The sequence below is a fragment of the Homo sapiens genome, chromosome 18 (assembly GCF_000001405.40).
Source record: "Homo sapiens chromosome 18, GRCh38.p14 Primary Assembly".
Lineage (NCBI taxonomy): Eukaryota > Metazoa > Chordata > Mammalia > Primates > Hominidae > Homo > Homo sapiens.
The window spans coordinates 63,303,138-63,323,940 of NC_000018.10; the positions used below are offsets into that span (position 1 = coordinate 63,303,138).

The following is a 20,803-nucleotide window of genomic DNA, read 5'->3' on the forward strand; positions in this document are numbered from 1 at the left end:
GACTTTCCCCACCTTTTTATTAAGGTATTAGGCAGGTTACAATTTGACAGTGAGATCATTTCTCTGGAACCAGGAAGGCACTGTGGGTTTGTTTTTCCAACGCACACTCTGACCCCTGTAAGAGCTTCTGAATCAGGTGTCTGGTCTTGGTAGGAACCAGTGATTAGTACTTATTTTTCAAAGGCTATTTAAACAGACTCTAGGAGTCAAAAGGGAGACAGAAAAAAAAAGTTGTTTCATTTATTTTTTAACTATGAGAGAACTTAAAATTACATGTTGTAGGAAAGATTTCACCTTCTAGTTATTAAAATAAAGATGACTAACTGGCTTCCTAAAGAACCCAAAAGGTCACATGCATAAAGTTGTTCTTTTGTAATATGTTTCTGTTTAAATTTTTGTTTTAAAAATTTAAGTTCCAGAGGACATGAACATCACTTGGATTGCCTAAATAAAGGATGCTGGTTTTGCCTCTTACCAGGCAAAGTCAATTGACTTTGCAGAACCTCTGTTTCCGCATCTATAAATCCACTTCCTGCCCTCAGGGAGAGGTTATTGAGGTTAAATAATCTCCTATCCCTAAAAGTGTTAAATCCAGGGTCTGGCACATATTGGGGTTCAATAAATATTCATTTCCTTCCTTCCTCCTGACTTTCGGTGACTGAGGCCAATGACCAATGTTGTCATAAATGGAAATGGGGAAATGAGAAGGATGAGTAGGTAAGGAAAAGATTGCGCTAAACATTTTAGCCAAAAATAGTAAAAGTCTCTTTAAGTTCATATTGTTCATGGTAACTCATTTTAAACTGATGTAAGGGCTATATTATACTAATACATTTATTATTTTTAAGGTACAACACTGTTTTCAACTATTAATGAAGAAAAACCCATTAAATCTCCTCTGTGTAAACTTGTAGTACTGCTTGAAAAATCTCAAAGACCAAGGAAGAAGTTAATATTGTCCCATCAGCACCCTTGCACTGCATTGCCCTGTTTTCATTACTTTGTGGCCCTTATGTTATATTGTTAATTTTTAAGTTGTTTACTTTTCTGACTTCCTCACAATGTGGGATTCACAAGAGATGGGAGAGTTCTTAACCTGTCATGTTTTCTGTTATAGCTCCAGCCCCTAGAACAATGATTGGCCCAGAGTAGGCTCTTTACAGTAAACAAATATTTATAAATATTTGTTGATTGAATGAACTTGCAGTAACATGCCCTTTACTACTGCGGAAACCCTACTGATGAAGGCTCCACCATTTTCAACATTCAAAAAACATGTACCAAATATTTTTGGTCACCTAAAAAGAGGAGCCCAGTGTTATTTTTTTAATTTTATTTAGTTACTAAAGGAGATAGTGTCTCAGTCAATGCTCTATGAGCAAATTTAAAGACTCTGAAGGACTTCTTCATATTTATTAGTGTTTGTTCTTTTAATTTTTTTGTTTCACATCCTTTTTAAATTTTTTAAACTTTTAAGTTCAGGGGCACATGTACAGGTTTGTCACATAGGTAAACTTGTTGGATGTTGTTATACAGATTATTTCATCCACCCACGTATCAAGCCTAGTACCCATTAGTTATTTTTCCTGATGGTCCAATGCGGCATTTTCTTGGGAAAAGAAAAAAGAAAGATGGAAGAGCAACATTTACAGGACTACACTTACGGGCACTTCCGATTAAAGCTAATTACAACCTTTGAAAATAATAAATAAGGACTCTGAGGAATTCAAAGAAATAAAGGCAGCAAACAGCATGCTAACATAACACCGTTGCTAGTCAGGTGTCAACAAGCAAAAACAGTCACACATGTTCATCTAATTCCAATTGGCCCCTGTTGAAAGGGGCTGTTTTACAGGGCCTTCAAGTGTTAGAGACCTCGCACGTCAATCCTACTACTGTCCCTTCAGCTCATGTCCAAGCCCGCCTGGCTCATAAGCGCATCCTCACAGGGTCTTGAGCTGATGGTAGGCACCAAATGGAAGCAGCTAGATCCCCCTCTGCTGCAAGCATGAGAAACGCTGCAAAGGCTGAATCGAAGAAGGGAAAGTAACCAGAAACAAAAGACTGCATTCCAATTTCCCTGAACATTTTTGACACAGAAAGCAGTAGAGTATACTAGTTTTCAAAATGCAATATATTTCAGTCTCTACTAAGCAATCTTGTGTCTTTATGAACACATATCCAGAGAAGCAGCACAGGATAAAGAAATATCTACGGGATTCCCAACCCAGGGAATGAATATCAGCTCTTCCTGTGCTTATTGGCTCGTACACACCTTTGTTGGGCGAACTTTCTTCTTTACATGGGCATAAACAAATAACTAACAGTGTGTGTGGGGAGGAAAGTAGGGAGAAGTTGGAATACAATATCTGCCTTGCTTAGGGTTGTTGTGAAGATCAAATGGGCCAACAGATATGGAATTTTTTTTTAGAAACTTTAAAATCCTACGTAAAGGCAAGAAACCACTGTCATTTTTTTCACCCGGAAAAAAATTCTATGAAAACTGCCTTTCATAATTGAATTCTTTCCTCAAATATACTTTTATTAACTGATAGTTAATAAAGATTTATCACACGGTGAATTCTAACAAAAATAGTTTTTAACCAGACAATTTTTTAAAAGTGAAATAAGAAAAAATATATATTTGTATAAGGTCAGGTGAGGTGACCCATGCCTGTAATCCCAGTACTTTGGGAGGCGGAGGCAGGAGGATTGCTTGAAGCCAGGAGTTTGTGACCAGCCTGGGCAACAAAGTGAGATCCTGTCGCAAAAAAAGATAAGACAGACATTATCTAGGTGTGGTGGCATGCACCTGTAGTCCCAGCTACTCAGGAGACTGAGGTGGGAGGATCACTTGAGCCCCGGAGTTCGAGGCAGCAGTGAACCGATATGGTGCCACTGCACTCCAGCCTGGGCAACAGAGCAAGACCTTATCTCCAAAAACAAACAAATAAACAAACAAACAAAAAACACAAAAAAGCATTTATATATAACCAGAACAATGACCACATTCTTTCCAAGTTGTACAGAAAGACCAGCAAAGCTGAGGAAGAACTGAGCCATGTTCTAAAGCATTCAGTCAATCATTACCTCTTCCAAAAAATCTCTCCACTCTAGTCCTAATCATTGTGCAAAGCTAGCAATTTCTTGCCGTTCCCACTACCATTCCTCTAGGTCAGGCACTTGATCTCTTGCCCGTTTGCTGAAAGAGCCTTCTATCTGGTCACTGATTTCTCCCCCGTCTCATTAACGGTCTGGAGTGGAGTCAGGGTGACGTATCTGAAACAAACTCTTCCAGGGTGGGCCACCTCTAGCATCATCTTTCTGACCCACCCACTTGCACTCTCCACTCCAGCCAGGCTGAACTCCTCAGCTCCTGCAGTCCACCATGTGGCCGCTTGCCTCTGGCCTTTGTTCCTGAAGTTCTGCCTGGGGCCACACTTGGTTCCTCCCACCCACTTCACTACATTGATTCCTGCTCATCCTTCAGGCTTCAGTCCCCTTCCTGGGAAGACTTCCTTGACTCCAATAAATGCCACCACTATTGCTGCATCTCTTCTCATAGCTTTAAACATGCTCTCCTGCAGCTGATGTTGAATGGTCTTCACTCCCCCAGACCAAGCTTGTCCAATCCATGGCAGGCTTTGAATACAGCCCAACACACATTTGTAAACTTTCTTAAAATATTATGAGGTTTTTTTGTGCTTTTTTTTTTTTTTTAGCTCATCAGCTATCATTCGTGTTAGCGTATTTTACGTGTGGCCCAAGACAATTCTTCTTCTTCCAATGTGGCCCAGGGAAGCCAAAAGATTGGATAGCACTGCCCTAGACTATCAGCCACGCCGCTCTGGCTCTCACTTCCCACTTCCCCAGGGCCTGGCTCAATATTTTTTTAAAAGTATGGTATAAATGAATAACTGATCTCTTGTTCTGTCTGCTTTAATCATGTGACTGAGTGCAAAAAAACAATTACCCACTTAAAAACACAGAGATGCAAGTGAATCCTTTGCCATAACAATGAGCCCACTCTTTATCAATACCCTGTTGTGCCAAACAGGTAGAGAGGTTTTAAAAAAGAGTCAAGTATCCCAACTCATATTAAATTTCCCCATATTCTCCATATTTTAAAAGCACTGGTTTAGTCATGGGTGATGCCCTTTAAGTATTCCGTACAAAAGGTATTTTCAAATTCCAATGACATGTACTTTCATCGGTTAATTTTTAATTGAGCCAAATATTAAATGTTCACATTAACCAGACAAAGCATTTTTAGCTACTGATTTGCAGTGACAGCTTGTGTTATTCTCACACACAGGCCAAGCATGAAATAGAAAACTAATAACCCCTTAACTGTATTCTCAAAGTATCATTTATGGGAAAGAAAACTACATTCAAAGGAAACTTGTGCAATGGCTGTCATTTTTTTCCCTGAGCCACAAGCTGTTACAAAGCAGGAGAGCTCATTTTCTCACAGATACGGACAAGCTCAAGAATCCCACTGTCACTGGATGTATTCATTAAGAAGGAATCTGGCAGCAGCACAGGGGACAGATACTTTGGAGAACAGGCCAATTATCTGGGTGTCCTTTATAATTTGAAGTTTCTGAATTCACTCATAGATAAGCTGCTTGAAGAGGGCCTGGCAATGGGAACATAATGCACAGATGGCCACTGAAGAAACAAGAGGGAGGAAGGGAGGCTGGAAGAGAGAAGAGAATTTGCTTGTGGTTTCATTCATGGGGACAAATCTACAAGCTGACACATTCATCTTTTTAAAAAGCCCCTGGAGAAGTATGGTCAAGCTTCACTACAAGTAAACAAATCAAAATCTTTCTCAAACAGATGACAACTGATGAGCAACAATGCTTTGAGTTTGCTTCATGCTAACGGATGAGGGTTCTCAAAATACAAATTCCATCAGTTGTTAAAACCACAGATAGGCTGTGATGCTGGCTTGAACCAGAATAGAGAACTCAGCCAAAAGCTGCCAGGCCAATGGTTTTATGTAAGACATCCCAGGTGGTCTTCTTGTTGAGCAGTGTCTTTAGAAATGGAATCTTAGGTTCTGTCGCCTCTGGGAATGCCGCACTGTACTGACTTCCACCTTCAATTGGCTGCTTATTTTTATGGGAGAAGAACGAGGGGATCATTTATCCTTGTGACTTTTGTGCTGCAGTTCTTTTTATATTTGAGCTACAACACTGATCAGAGTTAAAATCCACCTTGCTCCCACTGTGAGAACCTTGGGCCAGCCCTGCTTTCTATAATGATGGGGTGATGAATAATCTCAGCCTTCAAAACCTTTTCAGTCTGGGTTAGGCTTGAGATGTGAAACAAAAGGAATGAGAGCAACTAGGCATATGTACATACACTGTGTGTCTACAACCTTCGTATAAACAGATAGAATGTGACAACCAGCAGGCTGGTATCTATATTAGCATTAAGGACCAATAAATGTCAAATGTTTAATATAGAGCAAAATCTAGATTTCTCTTCAGGAATAAATGATATACTTTTTCAATTCAATGAAAAGGATGAAATCAAAACACTTAATAGGTATTTTTCTTCTTTCATTTCTATTAAATATTAATGAACCTGTAGGATGGGACATTTCAGACACACACACACACACACACAAACACACACTATAATAAAAGAAGTAGGAGAAAATTAGCTGCTTAGGATGAATTGCTCAGAATGCCCTAACATAATCATTTTATTCATTCATTCAATAAACAGTCATTGTGTGTGCCTATTACCTACTATGCTTGGTGCCAGGTTGAATTTAATAGAAGAAATATTTTATTAATAAGGAAGTCTCAATGAGAAAGGACACCTTGATTTTGTAAGACCTAGAGTCACACATAGAGGATACTATTAGGATATTTGGAACAATACTAATTTGACTCAAGTTGAAGTACTCATTAAGTTGGCAAACTGGTAGTGGGAAGCCAAGCTTTGAACAGCAAAGCTGCAGGTTAACCACCTTAACCCAATCCATGCAAGTCTACAGATTACCTTTGGGAAAAGGTGGGGTGCAAACAACAGTCGCAAACTAAGACAGCATCAGCAGTAGCATTTAGGACCACTTAGGGCAATGAAAGAAGGCAAAAGAGAAACCTACATGATTCGAGGGGAAAGACATATTATGGTTCAACCTCAATTTTTCTCTTGAGATCCAGATCCTTATGTCTAAGGCTTACTGGGCATTTCCACTTGGATATCCTACTGGAATGTCCAAAATGAAATTCATCACATGTACGCCACAAAGCAGTAACTGTTGTTATCTTTCCTTTCCCTCTGGAAGACAGTATCATTTTTTGAGGCAGCCAGGATGGCACTTGAGTCCTGATTCTTTCCCTCCCTCATTCCTCACATTCGACCTGCTGTCAGTCCTTTGATTCTACACGTGCAGTGTGCCCACATCTGTCCTGTCCTTTCTGTTCCAGGTGCTTCAGACCTCATACCTGGTCTCCCCCGTCCAGGCTCAGTCACTGTCAATCTTCCTCCCACGCACACATCCTGCCTTGTCTGAGAACCTTTGCAACATCCTTTCAACATCCCTGGTACAGTTAAACGCAGCCATCCTTCAGTAACCTCAGGGGATTGGCTCTAGGAACCCCCAGTGGATACCAAAATCTGAAGATGCTCAAGTCCCTGATATTAAATGAGTAGTACTTGCATATGCACATCCTCCTATATACTTTATTTTATTTATTTGTTTGTTTATTTATTTATTTTTTGAGACAGAGTCTCGCTCTGTCCCCTAGGCTGGAGTGCAGTGACACGATCTCGGCTCACTGCAACCTCCGCCTCCTGGGTTCAAGCAATTCTCCTGCCTCAGCCTCCCGAGTAGCTGGGATTACAGGCGCCCACCACCACACCTGGCTAATTTTTCTATTTTTAGTAGAGAAAGGGTTTCACCATGTTGGCCAGGCTGGACTTGAACTCCTGACTTCAAGTGATCCACCCACCTTGAGCTCCCACAGTGCTGGGATTACAGGCCTAAGCCACTGTGCCTGCCCTACCCCATATATTTTTGATCCAAAGTTGGTTGAATCCATGGATGTGGAACCCAAAGATAGGGAGGGCTGTCTATACAAGTTTCACAACTTAGTATGCAGTGGTAAGTTCTCAAAACTATGGATTTATCTCAGGAGAGTTCTCCATGCCCCAGTCAAATCAGACTCTCCACAATTCCCCAAACACACCTCCCGCATTCATGCCTGCTTTGACGCCTCCAGTTTCCACTACCTGAAAGACCCTCTCCCCGTATCGCCTGCCTGTTCTCTAAAACTTGTCTCAACATTATCTCCGGCATGAAACTCTTCAGATACCACTGTAGCTGGGTTGGGCCTCTCTGTCTACTACACATTGTCCAGGATTACAGTGATTTGTATCCTTGTCTTGGTCTCCTACTGATTGGTAAGTTCCTTGAAGGCAAAAGTTATCTTAGACATTTTTTCGCTTAACTAAAACACCTAGCATAGAGCTTTGCATGGTGTAGGGCCTCAATAAATGTTTTTTTCAATGAAACAAGTTAGTGTGCATGTTTTCCTAAATAACCAGATTCTAAAACCCCTCTCCATGACCATCACTACCCCGGTTCCTGGGAACCCAGGGTTAAGTTTTGTGGACAATTGCTCATTTCCCTCAATTAGGACTTCTTCAAATCATTTTCTTCTTATACTATCACTTTAATGTTTAGTAAGTGGCTTTGTCTCCCTGTTCTTATAATTTTGTTATAAAATACCTCAAAACCTCTCTGTGTGTCTTCAGTGTGTGTGTTTTTAAAGATGCTGGCAGGAATCCATAAAGGATATGGCTAGGAGATAGCCCTGAAATTTTACATCCAGAAATGCCAATGCTGCCATCCTTTATGGACTCGCTTTTTTTTTTTCAAGAAGATAAATCAATATTTAAAGCTGATGATATAATTTGTACTTAATTTTATTCCTATTTTAATTGTAAATCAGATATCAATATATCTGAGATATAGCATTGAACTAAGAAGACTAAGTTTATGTGTCTCATGTTCTTTTAGAAAATTCTAATGCAGCTGAGAGGAATATTTGGCTGCAATTCAATTTCAGAGTTAATATAGAGATATAGCATTCATCATGTTGTAAAGCAGAAAAAATATCATCCTGGTTATCTGCTAAGGAGAGCTGGAAAAAGTCAAGAAGAGACAGCCTGCAACACTGATCCTTTGTTTGGTGCTTCAAGTATTAAAATTGGTAAACTCACCATACTCTGTTGCAGCTTAACTGTCTTTTCGACAGTTAAAAATAAGGAAATATGGTAACTGGATCTGTCACAAGAAAAGATGTATTGGTCTCAATGGAGAAAACCTCCCCTGAAAAATTAAAGCTTCACTTGACACAGTGGGTTCTCGGGTTGTTTTTGGGAGACATGATAATGAGCAGAGTGGAGTCAGTCATCAGTTTCTGACTCATTACATGGAAGCCCCAGAGAGCTGATTATTAACTAAAAATGGAATACGCTTCTATCCCTGAAGTTGTGAAGGCAAAACAAGAAGCAGAATGGAAACACAAATTTCCCCATTGACGCATGTGGCCCAAACGCGATGCTCAAGGGCAGGTGTCTTCCACAGTTAACCTGCTCATGGAATGTGGTTGATCGCCCCAGAAAATCACCCAAGTCACTCTCAGTATATTGCTACAAATGGCCATACCAGTATGTCAGGGAGATTCCCTTTCTCACATGTTTAAAAGGGCGTTTGGGGAAGTAGTCCTTACCCTAAGCTATTTTAGTTTAGTTAGTCAAACATTTATTGAAGTCTCAGGTATAACCCCACTATAATCTTGCACTAGAGGAATCAAAGTAAGTACAAATTTTGCCAGCAGATACTATCTTTTCTCTGCACAGGTTAAAGTTTATAATCACTAGAGGAAAAGGATAGTGTCTGGTCACAGAATTTTGACCTGCCCAGCTGCCTGCAGCAAGTTTGGGGTGAGGGTTATCCTCTCACTTTGATTAGACTCCCCACTTCTGCTCCCTTTTGCTAGTATCTAAGCGCATTACGGTTTTCTTCAGGTAAATCCTACCCATCACTAATTGGAAGTTAACAAGGAGCTACACCTGAGAGGTCCCTCACCGGTGGAATGATAAGGCAGGTAGGGGATGGTCACAGGGGTGGTGGCACCTATGAGAAAGTCCCATGGCTTGGAAGAGAGAGGAATAATCATTCAATCCTTATTCACACTGAAGGACAGATGGGTGTATCTTTTGTCTGGCAAATGGAGGGCAGAGAAATAGTGCTATAGCATATACAGAATTGGGCATATATAAGAACAACAAGTGACAATCTATAAAAATATGTTTTTAAGTGAAAACAGCTTTGTTGGCATTTTGAAAGTTTTACAGTCTCCATTTAAACGAACAGACCACAAGCCCAAAAAAGTCCGAAGGCAAATGCCAGTGTTACAATGGACTGTGAATTTCTGTAACTAGCATCGTAGAAGTGTCTTGATAAATAGAACAGTAATATAACCTCAAACCAAAACAAAACAGAAGCTTTTTTTTCCCCTGCTCAAAGGAAGAGCCCCCGCTCTGGTTCAAAACCTACTTGTATTTTTTGGCATACAAGAGTTATTTAAGAAAGATAGTTCTTCAAATTACCCTGTTCCAGTCAGTCTAATCGGAGCCTTGATTGTCTTTTACTTAAAAAGAATTAATGAAATGCTTTAGAAATTGTAGACTGGTGTTTATTAAGTCTTCTTAGTATGCATAAATAGTGCTTAGTGGGTTAATATTTAACAAGGGAACTCCCCCTGCCTTTCAGTTCTCTTAAGCATATGTCTACGTTACACAGTATTTTTTAAAGTATCTACATTTTGGCCCTGTTTAAATTAGGCCTAATGCACACATGAACAGCCATATGGTCAGAAATAACGTTCTTAGACCAAGGCTGAAGTACATGCAAAATAACTTATAGTTATTTGCTTTTTTCCTCTAAGTCTCTGAGTCTAGGATCATGCTTATCAGGCTGTATGATAACTACGAGTTTATTAAGATGCCTGCAACACTAGCCTGTGAGTTTATCCAGGGCAGAAGCAAAGCTCTCCTTGCCGTGCCTCCAACCTAACCCAAGGCAGGACTCATGTAAGACTGGCAATCACATCTGTGGAATAACTGTCAGTCCTTGGATGATTTTCATCATTAATCCTGCTTAGACATCAAACATTAAGGTTGATTAAGCCAAACCAAGAGGGATGAAAGAGAAAATTCACAGTGGAGTAAATTCACTGAGTGGTCTCCTACATGTGGTTGACAGAAAGGATGACCAGATTGACAAGTTACTGTTATACCTGAATAAGGTGATATTAGATTACCTTAAAAAGGTTGAACAGAACCTTTGAATCTCAAATACAATATATCTCTGGGGGAAAAAGAAAACGTTCTACTTGTACACTACAAAGACAGTGTTGTTTTCTAGCACAAATGCACTTCTGCTGAGATACTGCTTTGCTAAACTACTGCTAAGACACAATGAGTGACCTTAGAAAAGGGTGCGGAGGTATGTTGGGTGGGAAGAACCACTGTTAACATGCAGCACCCACACACTCGCTCATGAGTGGGCGTATCATCCCTCCAAATAGCGCAATAGGACTGGGAACAGAGATAAGAAAAAACAACAAGAATTTTGCTTGCCTTTTTTTTATTTTTAATTTATGGCTTTCTGTTACCTGGTATGCTGTGTGGCCTGATGACATTTAAGTAATCTGAAATGTACCAGTTCAATCAAAGATTGCTAAAAAGGGCAATCCATTCTTATTAGAAAGTACAGCTGAAAGTAACAGAATGCGCAAAAGAAAGCCATGTTTTCAATGGACGTTAAATAGCAACAAAACAGAAAAGAGAATTCAGTTAACTATAAAATTTTATGAATGTCCAGAAACAATCACACCACAGCACATGACTGAAAACTCTATGAGAAATAGTGTGTTTTTCTCTACTACATAAATTATTGAAAGGGGTCATGTGATTCTTGTAGGCAGAAAGATGCACTTTCCCAAGGAAAGTTCATCATGAAATATATTATTTAAGACTAGATCATCTTCAAGCTATTTTTAATCCTATCGTCTTGCTGCCAAAATTGGCCATAAGCAGCCAATCCTCAGACACTAGAAAAATGATGCTCTTTCATGTAATTTGTACACTGGCATGAGAATGGTATTGCTTTCCAGTTAATCAAATGTTTTGCTGGATGTGGACTGCCTTGAGAAAGGAAAAACTGCTTGCTGACTAATGAAAAGGCAGCTGAACTCTACCGGGTGTGGAGAAGTTCCTGTCTTCCTAAACCACCAACACCAAAAAACCAAAAAATAAGTCGGATTACCATCTTGTCAACAGAATAAAGCCAATCTCCTACAATCTCTTGTCTGAATCATCTCATTCTTCTAGTGGCTCCTATCTCACTCTCTCCTAAGACATGAAGCTGAATGTCGTCACAGTTCCCAGTTTAGAGGGTCACTCTCCATCACCTGCCCAAAACTCAATCCCTTGCCTGCAAGAGTCCCTTTGTCTTAAAGAAGCTGCAAGGTCACTAAAGTCATTTACAGAATTTAAACTGTGTTATGAGGGGATAAAATAATAACTAACAGAGCTATTAAAAGAGCTAATTCTCTTGCCTTTAATTGAAGAAAAGCTATCTTACTTTTTAATGGGACCAGTGATGCCAATATAAACTATATAACTACTACGAAAAATATTCATGAGAAGACTGGGCTTATAGTTGATCTACCTGCTTGCTATCTCTCCTTCATCCAATTTATGTCTTCCTAAAGTCAGATCACAATAGTGGACACCTGGGAAATACTCGGTATTCCAAGTAACACTATAGATCTTTAAGGCCACTGGAAGGGGACAATGCAGAATCCATCCCAGGTAGCAACTCTTCCTAAAAGATGCCACCAGGAACCAAGGATGGTAGCCAGCATCGCTAACTTTAACGTGCACACAAACCACATATTCTGACTCAGTAGCTCTGGGGTGGGAGCTGAGCTTTAGCATCTCTACAAAGCTCCGGGGGATGCATGTGCTACTGTCTATAAGCCACACTGAGCAGCAAGGTATCCACATTTTCTAGAATTGCTTCTCTCTCACTGCTTCCTCTGTCCTGCCTCTCTCTGGATGCCACACAATGCCTTATTCAGACCTAGGAATAAATCCACACTCCACTCTACAGCCAATTACTTCTTTAGTCTTTATTTAATTTGTAGTCTTCTGGGACAATCTATCAGAGGCTGATCATTCCAAGGACCTGATTTATCCATGTTATGGAACACAAAAGTCAAACAGATTTCCTCAGCCTCACAAGGTTCCAATTTTCTACGAGCAGCAGCAAAGAAAAAGAAATGACTTGCAGTCTAAAGCCTGGAGTATTCAGTGTAGTATTCAGGAGATGGGCTAATCCACGGAGCCCTGGGGACAGTGCAGATTATTGTCACATGCCAAGAAAATATGCTAGCTCTCTTCTGAAGCTTTACCATTAAGACTACCTTACACTATAAAATACAACATATTATTAGAGATGTAACCCCAATTGGTGTAAATGTGAAGAAAATCTGTCTGTATGCCAAATGCCTAAAATGACTTTTAGATTAATAATGCACATTTGAAATGATAGGCAAATCATTCATCATTCTCAAACACTACCACTTTTATTCCAAAGTGTCCTATGAGTGCATTTCCTGGTATATATATATATTTTTTCTCTAAATTCCTTTGTTTTCCTATATAGTCACCATCTATGCATTGTTCTGAAAGCTATTACATATTTTACCATCAACCATCTGTGCTTCTACATGATTTATTTTTACTAGAAGCAGTTTTGTCAAAAAATTTTTATCATGTTCTATGGTATGTCATTGTGGTTTGGCATCATAAAATGTAGCCTCTACATTTATCAACCTCAGATACCTGTTGACCACAAAGATAGGTCTACTATGAAAACTCTGTTTCACAAAAAGAAAAAAGTGAGCCTTTACTTAAAAAGAAACTTCAGTTACATGAGAGGGTAACACACTGAAATTCAGCAACAAATATCAAGGTTGTATCTTAATTTCTGTCATAAACATGTGTCTCTGTTTCCCACATTTTTATTAACTTATTTGATAGACAGATACCAGTTACCACCTTGGATTTATTTCAAGTAGAAAGAAAATTTGTAAGTGTGAATTTTTCACAAAAATGTGAAATAGTAAAACTATTAAATCAGTTTTACTTTGGTTTAAAAGGATCCTTTGGGAATCTGGAAGTCCCAACCCCTTTAGTTATAGTGATTAAAAATCAAACCACCTACTTAACCAAATATTTAACAAAAATATTCTTTTCACCCTTTAGCAAATTCTTCCAGAATTACTAAAGATCTGATAATGTGAGATCTCAACAAACAAACAATTCAAGAAGAGGATTTAAATTTTAGAAATTTAAATTGGGGCATTTTAGTTAATCTTACTTTTAAACACCAAACAGTGGCATCAATATTTTGTCAACTTTGGTCAAATAAGATCAGATGTTCACATCAATCATCTACTTTTCTTGGCCTTTTCTCTATTTGGCCTCCTAGTATGAGCACACTTTGTAAAATGTAATAAAAACATGTGGTGTGCTTCTTGACATCTAATCCACTTGCAGTAATTTCTAGGCTTTTTGCTCCTGTTAGGTCCTATAAAATAATGACATTAGTCATTCTCCCAAGAGGCTATAAAAGGAAGCACTGAATTGCATCCTGTTTTTCAAAGATAACTCTTCAGATTAAAACAAAAAGTGTAAAAAAAAAAAAAACTTCACACAAGAATTACTTTTTCATAAATTCATCATTTTAGATATGAGATATAGATCTCCATTACAATCCTTGACTCTTAGGAACTAAACCCCCTCCAACAAAGAATCTCAGAAAAGTACAATTGTATGGTATAATGATGAAAGCTCTATCTAGCACAGTACGAGAAAAAGATCATCTCACAAATGTTCTTCAAAGCCACAGGTATCAATCACTTCAACTAAAGTAAGGGTAAGATAATCCACAGCTAAGAATCAATTCTTCTACACTTTACATAGATACCTAGATGCAAATTTTTTTCAGCCGACCACAAAATTAGGTCCACTCTGAGTGGTGAAAAACAAAAGATTCTAACATTCTAGCAAACTGGTAAACCATACACAAATTATAGAATACAAAGAATGCAGCCGATGCAAATTCTGTCACTGACAAGGTAGCAAAGCCATAGCCTGATACTCCTCAGGACACCTCATCACGCCCACTGGGAACATGGCACACACTGGAGATTCCAGTCCAAGGACTTTGGAATGTCAACTTAGCTCTTTACAAACACAACTAAGTTTTTCAGGGAAAAAGACTTACATTGGTTTTCCTCTTTTGGAAAATTTTACCGATTGATGATGCCCTTGGTCTTCTGTGGAGTCTATTCTTCTAATCGGGTTGTTCTCCAATTTTAGTGTACAACGGGCTTGTTTCAGGGGAGCTTGTTTGGGATGCAGACTGTCAAGACCCAACCTGGTATCTGGTTCATAAGCAGTCCCTGAAACCTCCCTCCGGTTCCAACAAGCTGCTCAAGCCAGGAAACGGTGGTCCTGGGGACTCCTGGACCTTCAGCTTGAGAAACACTGAAGGGGTACCATTTACCACCACATCCTACTGGATTACAAACGCTAGATCTTTGGATCTCCACGACTAGCAAGCAAGTTAAAGACTTTTAGATGGCAGGCGTTATCGGTCAGGTTGGGAGTGAACGCTTTGTCCAGAGGAGGAGGTAGGGACGCCGGGAAGCAACAACTCTGATTTTATTTCGCCGGCTCCACAGCCTCCCATTGCCCCAGGAGCCCACCCGCACTCCAACCCCCGCATCTCGGACCTGTGGCCTCAGCCCAGACTCACATCACCAAGTGCACCTACCCAGCCTCCGTTATCCTGGATCCAGGTGTGCAGGTGCCGGTTCAGGTACTCAGTCATCCACAGGGCGATGTTGTCCACCAGGGGCGACATCTCCCGGTTGACGCTCTCCACACACATGACCCCACCGAACTCAAAGAAGGCCACAATCCTCCCCCAGTTCACCCCGTCCCTGAAGAGCTCCTCCACCACCGTGGCAAAGCGTCCCCGCGCGGTGAAGGGCGTCAGGTGCAGCTGGCTGGACATCTCGGCGAAGTCGCGGCGGTAGCGGCGGGAGAAGTCGTCGCCGGCCTGGCGGAGGGTCAGGTGGACCACAGGTGGCACCGGGCTGAGCGCAGGCCCCGCGGCGGCGCCGGGGGCAGCCGGGGTCTGCAGCGGCGAGGTCCTGGCGACCGGGTCCCGGGATGCGGCTGGATGGGGCGTGTGCCCGGGCTGGGAGGAGAAGATGCCCGGTGCGGGGGCGGCCCCCGGGGGCGCGGCGCCCACATCTCCCGCATCCCACTCGTAGCCCCTCTGCGACAGCTTATAATGGATGTACTTCATCACTATCTCCCGGTTATCGTACCCTGTTCTCCCAGCGTGCGCCATCCTTCCCAGAGGAAAAGCAACGGGGGCCAACGGCACCTCTCGCCCCAGCTCCCACCCCACGGCCCCCAGAGAAAGAAGAGGAGTTATAATCCAGCTATTTTATTGGATGTGCTTTGCATTCTTGGACGAGGGGGTGTCTTCAATCACGCGGAACACTTGATTCTGGTGTTTCCCCCTTGGCATGAGATGCAGGAAATTTTTATTCCAATTCCTTTCGGATCTTTATTTCATGAGGCACGTTATTATTAGTAAGTATTGTTAATATCAGTCTACTTCCTCTGTGATGCTGAAAGGTTAAAGAAAAAACAAACTAATAAGTAAAAAATCAGGTGCGTTTCCCTGTACACACTGAGTGAAAGCAGGGCATACACACTACAAGTAACACGGCTAAAAAGAATGTATTAAGCTGCCTGGAAATTAAATTTACTCGAATGCACTTTAAGTAAAAAATCTCAAAGGTTTCCATTGAAAGTTACATTAAACCAATTTCCTGTGCAGAGAACTTACTTGTATTTTTTAAGTACAGCATGATCCTCTGTCAAGTTTCCTTTTTGTAAAACCAAAACAAATGCATAAGGCAACGATCCCATCAATCTTCAGCACTCTCCAGTTATAGCTGATTTGAAACTTCCCAATGAATCAGGAGTCGCGGGGAGAGGGAGTAAAAATTAGGAGGATTTCCAGATCGATTCCCAGACTTCTGCTTCACAGAAATGTCAATCCGCAGGAATCCCAACCGGAGATCTCAAGAGCTCGAGAAAAAAAAAAGGCAGCGGCGGCGGCAGATGAATTACAATTTTCAGTCCGGTATTCGCAGAAGTCCTGTGATGTTTTCCCCTTCTCGGCAATTTACACGCGCGCACACACGCGCGGGCACAGGCATGAATCTCTATCCACGGGACCGCTTCACGCCTCCCCAGGAGAGAGACAGGGGAGAGGGGACGATGAAGGAGCCGGGGACGGAGGCAGGAATCCTCTTCTGATTAAACTCCGAACAGCAAATGCATTTTCCGAAAAGCTGCTGGATAAATGAAGGCAGGACGCGCCTGGCCCGCCGGTGCCGAGCGCTAGAAGCCCGCGCTGTGTGTGGTGCGGCGAGGGGTGGGGAGAAGGAGGTGGTGGGGGAGGGTTTTATTTTTTCCCTCTTTTCCTAAAAAGGATGACTGCTACGAAGTTCTCCCCCCTGGACCCCCTCTTCCGCTGCACCCCACCGGCGCACCCCGCCTCCGGGCTGCGCACCCTTTCTCCTCCTCCTGGTCCTGCGCGGCGGCGCTGGCTACGGCCGCCTCCCGGAGCTCCCGCCGCGCAGCCCGCTCCGAGCGCTGACGGCCGCCGGCAGGGAGGGCCCGGAGCCCCGGCACCTTCGCTGGCAGCGGCGGCGGCGGCAGCGCGGCGGGGCCACGGAGAGCGGCGGGCGGGAGCGCGGCGGGCGGGCGGGCAGGCGGCGCGGAGGGGCGGGCGCGGGAGGAAGGGGGCGGGAGCGGGGCTGTGGTGCCTGTCCTCTTACTTCATTCTCTGCACAGCCCGACCGGTTTCCTGTGCGTAACGTCACACGGTTCATTCAAAAAAAGAAGAAAGAAAGAGCCCTCCTCTGAGCCACCCGACCGCCCCCTCCGCCCCGCTCCCTGGCCCGGGTTAAAGGCGCCGCGGCAGGCCCGGGAGTGGCGCGTCCCGCCGGGGGCACATGGCGCGCGGGGCCGCGGCCGGGGAGGGCGCGTCCGGGCCGGCCACCCGCCCGCTCCGCTGCGCCCGCGGGGCCCGGCCAGTGGGTGGCGCGGGCGGCACAGGCCTCCCGCGCGGCCGCGGCGCGGTGGGTGTGCGCGGGGCCTTCTGCTCAGGCCTGCGGCAGGCCGCGTGCGGACTTGGTGGTCGCTGGGGTCCGCGACGGGGTGGGGGCTCCCGGGGAACCGCACGCGGCCGGGCCGGGCGGACGACGGAGTGCGGAGGGGGGCGGCTGGCGGGAGGGTGCGCCATGAAAACAAGGGCTGGAAAAGCGCCGGGAACCGCCTGGACCCTTTCTGGCCGTGTGAGTGTGTGTGGAGTGTGTGTGTGTGTGTGTGTGTGTGTGTGTGTCTCGCCTGGACCTTTTCTAGCCGTGTATGTGGGAGTGTGTGTGTCGCCTGGACCCTTTCTAGCCGTGTATGAGAGTGTGTACACGCGCCTACACACACACACGTTGTGTTACCGGCGCTCGGCCGCCGGGGGAAGACCCAGGCCAATGCCGCCCCCCACCGCCCCCAGCAGTGGGACCTCAGCGCTGCCCTGCTGTGAAGACAGGTGACTCTGCACGTTTTAAGCAATGTCTAGGGACGCCCCGAGCGTGGTGTTTACTTTCAAGTAGCTTCCTAGGTGTCCGCGCACTACACACGCACGCGCATCCCCGCCCGTGTCCACCTGAACACCTAGTCCGTGGCCCAGGCCATGCAGAACTCAGCGCTCCAGGGAAGGGGTTTATCAAGGGCTTTACGACAGTTTAAGTCAATGTTTTCCCTCTGTCCCTAACACCTTTTACACTGGTTTAGTGCTACACGATGAGGACTTCCATATAGTAACTTTCAGGCCCACCGTCCTAACGCTGGGGTGGGTGGGCTCCTAAAGGTCTCCACCTTTGCCTCGTAGCCAATCCTAGTTGGCCGCACTTTCTCAAATGAGGTACATAGATACACACATACACATTCACACTCGCAGACGTGTGTACGCGCAAGCAGACAGTTTTAAATTAATCAGCATGAATAGCCCCTAGCAAAAAAGGACAAGAGGACAAACAAGTTGCACGTGTGTATTTTTATCTCCAAGAGTCTTTGACAAAGCACCAAGAAAAGAAAAAGGTCTTCTAGAAGCACAGCGGCTTACTTAATAGGGCTCGAGTGCAAATATATAGGGACACTGGATTATTGGGGTCAAGAAAGATGACAAATGAGTACTACAATGTGTACAAATATGCTATGACTTTTTTTTTTTTTTTGAGACAGAGTCTTGCTCTGTTGTATCTTGGAGGCTGGTGTGCAGTGGTGCGATCTCAGCTCACTGCAACCTCTGCCTCCCAGGCTCAAGCAATTCTGCCTCAGCCTCCTGAGTAGCTGGGATTACACGTGCACGCCACTACGCTCTGCTAATTTTTGTATTTTTAGTAGAGACGGGGTTTCGCCATACTGGCCAGGCTGGTCTCGAACTCCTGACCTCGTTATCCGCCTGCCTCAGCCTCCCAAAGTGCTGGGATTACAGACATGAGCCACTGTGCCCTGCCTGACATCTTTATTTTGTCTCATTCCTACTCTAAAATCAAAACATTCTTTAAAAAGCCAGAAAAGCACACCAAATTATGATTTTTTTAATTTTTACTTAGTTGGCCTTTTTTTTTTTTTTTTAAGAGATGGCTTTTGCTATGTTGCCCAGGCTGGACTCGAACTTCTGGGCTCGAAGGATTCTCCCACCTCAGCCTCATGAATAGCTGGGACTATACGCACTGCCATCTCTCTTGGGTGTTTTTATTTTATTTCTTCATTTATTGTATCCCATCAGCCCAACAAGCCAACTTCTCTCACATAGGAATGGGGGCCTGGGTACAAATTTCTTATCCAGGCAAGAGGGGATGAAAGGAGATCCTCCTTCTTGCCCTTCTGATGGTTGGGACAGAGTCCCTTTTATGCGCGTGGGAGGTGTTTTGGTCTGGATAGACACTGGGTATAGATTGACCTAGAATAAATGTTCTCACATAAATTCATACCAATTGCACAACAGTATGGTTTAGAAATCTTGAAAGCGTATTTTAAAGCCCCAAAATTACCTAAGAGGAATTGAAAGGCTTCAAGCTCCTAATACTCAGCATATGAGTGAGGAAATGATAGGACAAACCTGCAAAAGAAACTGTACTTCTGCAAAGGGGGCAGCCAGAAGGAAACGGATCCCCTACTTCCAGAGAAAGAAAAGCTGACTGATTTTCGTCTTCCTTTGCTCCCACAGAGCCTCACTCTATGGATTTTCCCAGACTGATTCCTTATGTGGCATCTTGGCTATAATCAGTCTTGAGACAGGTCTGTATTGCAGTCTTTGGCTAGGGGTTATATTTTCCCTGGGAATGTTCTAGATACTCTTTCAAATGAAAGAGTGAAACCATTCCTGCGTTCAGATTCCATGTTTATTAGATTCCATTTTAAAGCATAAGGGCAAGTATTCCCAGGAAGTATGTGACATTGACTACTCGTCTTTGGGCAATGCTGAGGTGGGGGAGGGAACACCAGCCTGAGGCAGGAGTAACTGGATTTGAATCCTAGATCTATGCCTGAGACCTTCCAACAACCTTACAAACATATGCACAGTGGACTTTTCACTTTCCAAGATGTTTTCTACTTGTAAGAGCCAATGGATGACCCTTTTGGCAGCTTTACCTGGTTGGATTCTACAAGTAGCGTGGCACCAGGAAGAGAAAAAAAACAAGATGCAGGGAATGGAGATTGTATCAAGAGTCTGAATGGCCTGTGTTTTCTTTCCGTCTTCATTCCCCAGGCCACCAAACAAAAAGCTTTTGATTGCCAGTTTTCGCCACCTGCTGGTTGTTTCACAGCGTTACTCTCTTCATCCATCCAAGAAAGTTCTTTCATCCATCATCAATATAAATATTCTCCAAGTTTATGAAATTCAAAAGGTACATTATTCTAACATGAACATACTAATGTTTAATATAGGTATGTATCGGCCAGGTGTGGTTGCTCATGCCTGTAATCTCAGCACTTTGGGAGGCTGCGGTGGGTGTATTGCTTGAGGCCAAGAGTTTGAGACCAGCCTGCACAACATGACAAAACTCTATCTCCACAAAAAATACAAAAATTAGCGGGGCATGGTGGTGTGTGCCTGTAGTCCCATCTACTCTGAAGGCTGAGATAGGACGATCACTTGAGCCCAGGAGGTGGAGGCTGTAGTGAGCTGTGATCACACCACTGCACTGCAGCCTGGGTGACAGACTGATACCCTGTCTCAAAAAAAAAAAGAAAAGAAAAGAAAAAAAAAATCATGTGTGTGTATCAAATCTTCCCAGCTAGTAAACTTTTTATTGAAAATGTGGGTAGAATGAGACTATTAACTGAGGATATTGATAACTAATAGGTCAGATGGAAGAGTAAACCATGGCCCCAACCTGAAATGGAAATTAATCCATAAATAAAATGAGCTGACTAGAGAGAATAAAAACAAGTAGTCCATATAGTTTGCATAAAAGAAAAATGAGGCCGAGCGCAGTGGCTCACGGCTGTAATCCCAGCACTTTGGGAGGCAGAG

General features: G+C 43.2%; 1 protein-coding gene across 6 annotated transcripts in view, besides 7 other annotated features; it reads right to left on the reverse strand.

Moving 5' to 3' along the window:
* BCL2 (BCL2 apoptosis regulator) overlaps positions 1-16,953 on the reverse strand; it is a 196,745-nt gene extending 179,792 nt beyond the window's left edge. For 3 of the 6 annotated variants that reach the window (XM_047437733.1, XM_047437734.1, XM_011526135.4), the window contains exon 1: positions 14,945-16,953. In XM_047437733.1, coding sequence (XP_047293689.1) covers positions 14,945-15,529 — 585 coding nt within the window. In that variant the 5' untranslated portion in view covers positions 15,530-16,953. Of the gene's footprint in view, positions 1-14,816 lie in introns of those variants that run through there. The other 3 variants (NM_000633.3, NM_001438935.1, NM_000657.3) reach the window with 2 other exon arrangements.
* Positions 8,441-8,650: an enhancer, noted in NCBI's record as "active region_13465". NCBI's record gives its function as "activates an Ori minimal core promoter by ATAC-STARR-seq in GM12878 lymphoblastoid cells {active_cell/tissue: GM12878}" and the evidence as "EXISTENCE:reporter gene assay evidence [ECO:0000049][PMID:35858748]".
* Positions 13,914-13,963: an enhancer, noted in NCBI's record as "active region_13466". NCBI's record gives its function as "activates an Ori minimal core promoter by ATAC-STARR-seq in GM12878 lymphoblastoid cells {active_cell/tissue: GM12878}" and the evidence as "EXISTENCE:reporter gene assay evidence [ECO:0000049][PMID:35858748]".
* Positions 15,254-15,493: a silencer, noted in NCBI's record as "silent region_9522". NCBI's record gives its function as "represses an Ori minimal core promoter by ATAC-STARR-seq in GM12878 lymphoblastoid cells {active_cell/tissue: GM12878}" and the evidence as "EXISTENCE:reporter gene assay evidence [ECO:0000049][PMID:35858748]".
* Positions 16,849-17,038: a silencer, noted in NCBI's record as "silent region_9523". NCBI's record gives its function as "represses an Ori minimal core promoter by ATAC-STARR-seq in GM12878 lymphoblastoid cells {active_cell/tissue: GM12878}" and the evidence as "EXISTENCE:reporter gene assay evidence [ECO:0000049][PMID:35858748]".
* Positions 17,199-17,408: a silencer, noted in NCBI's record as "silent region_9524". NCBI's record gives its function as "represses an Ori minimal core promoter by ATAC-STARR-seq in GM12878 lymphoblastoid cells {active_cell/tissue: GM12878}" and the evidence as "EXISTENCE:reporter gene assay evidence [ECO:0000049][PMID:35858748]".
* Positions 17,439-17,508: a silencer, noted in NCBI's record as "silent region_9525". NCBI's record gives its function as "represses an Ori minimal core promoter by ATAC-STARR-seq in GM12878 lymphoblastoid cells {active_cell/tissue: GM12878}" and the evidence as "EXISTENCE:reporter gene assay evidence [ECO:0000049][PMID:35858748]".
* Positions 18,400-18,489: an enhancer, noted in NCBI's record as "active region_13467". NCBI's record gives its function as "activates an Ori minimal core promoter by ATAC-STARR-seq in GM12878 lymphoblastoid cells {active_cell/tissue: GM12878}" and the evidence as "EXISTENCE:reporter gene assay evidence [ECO:0000049][PMID:35858748]".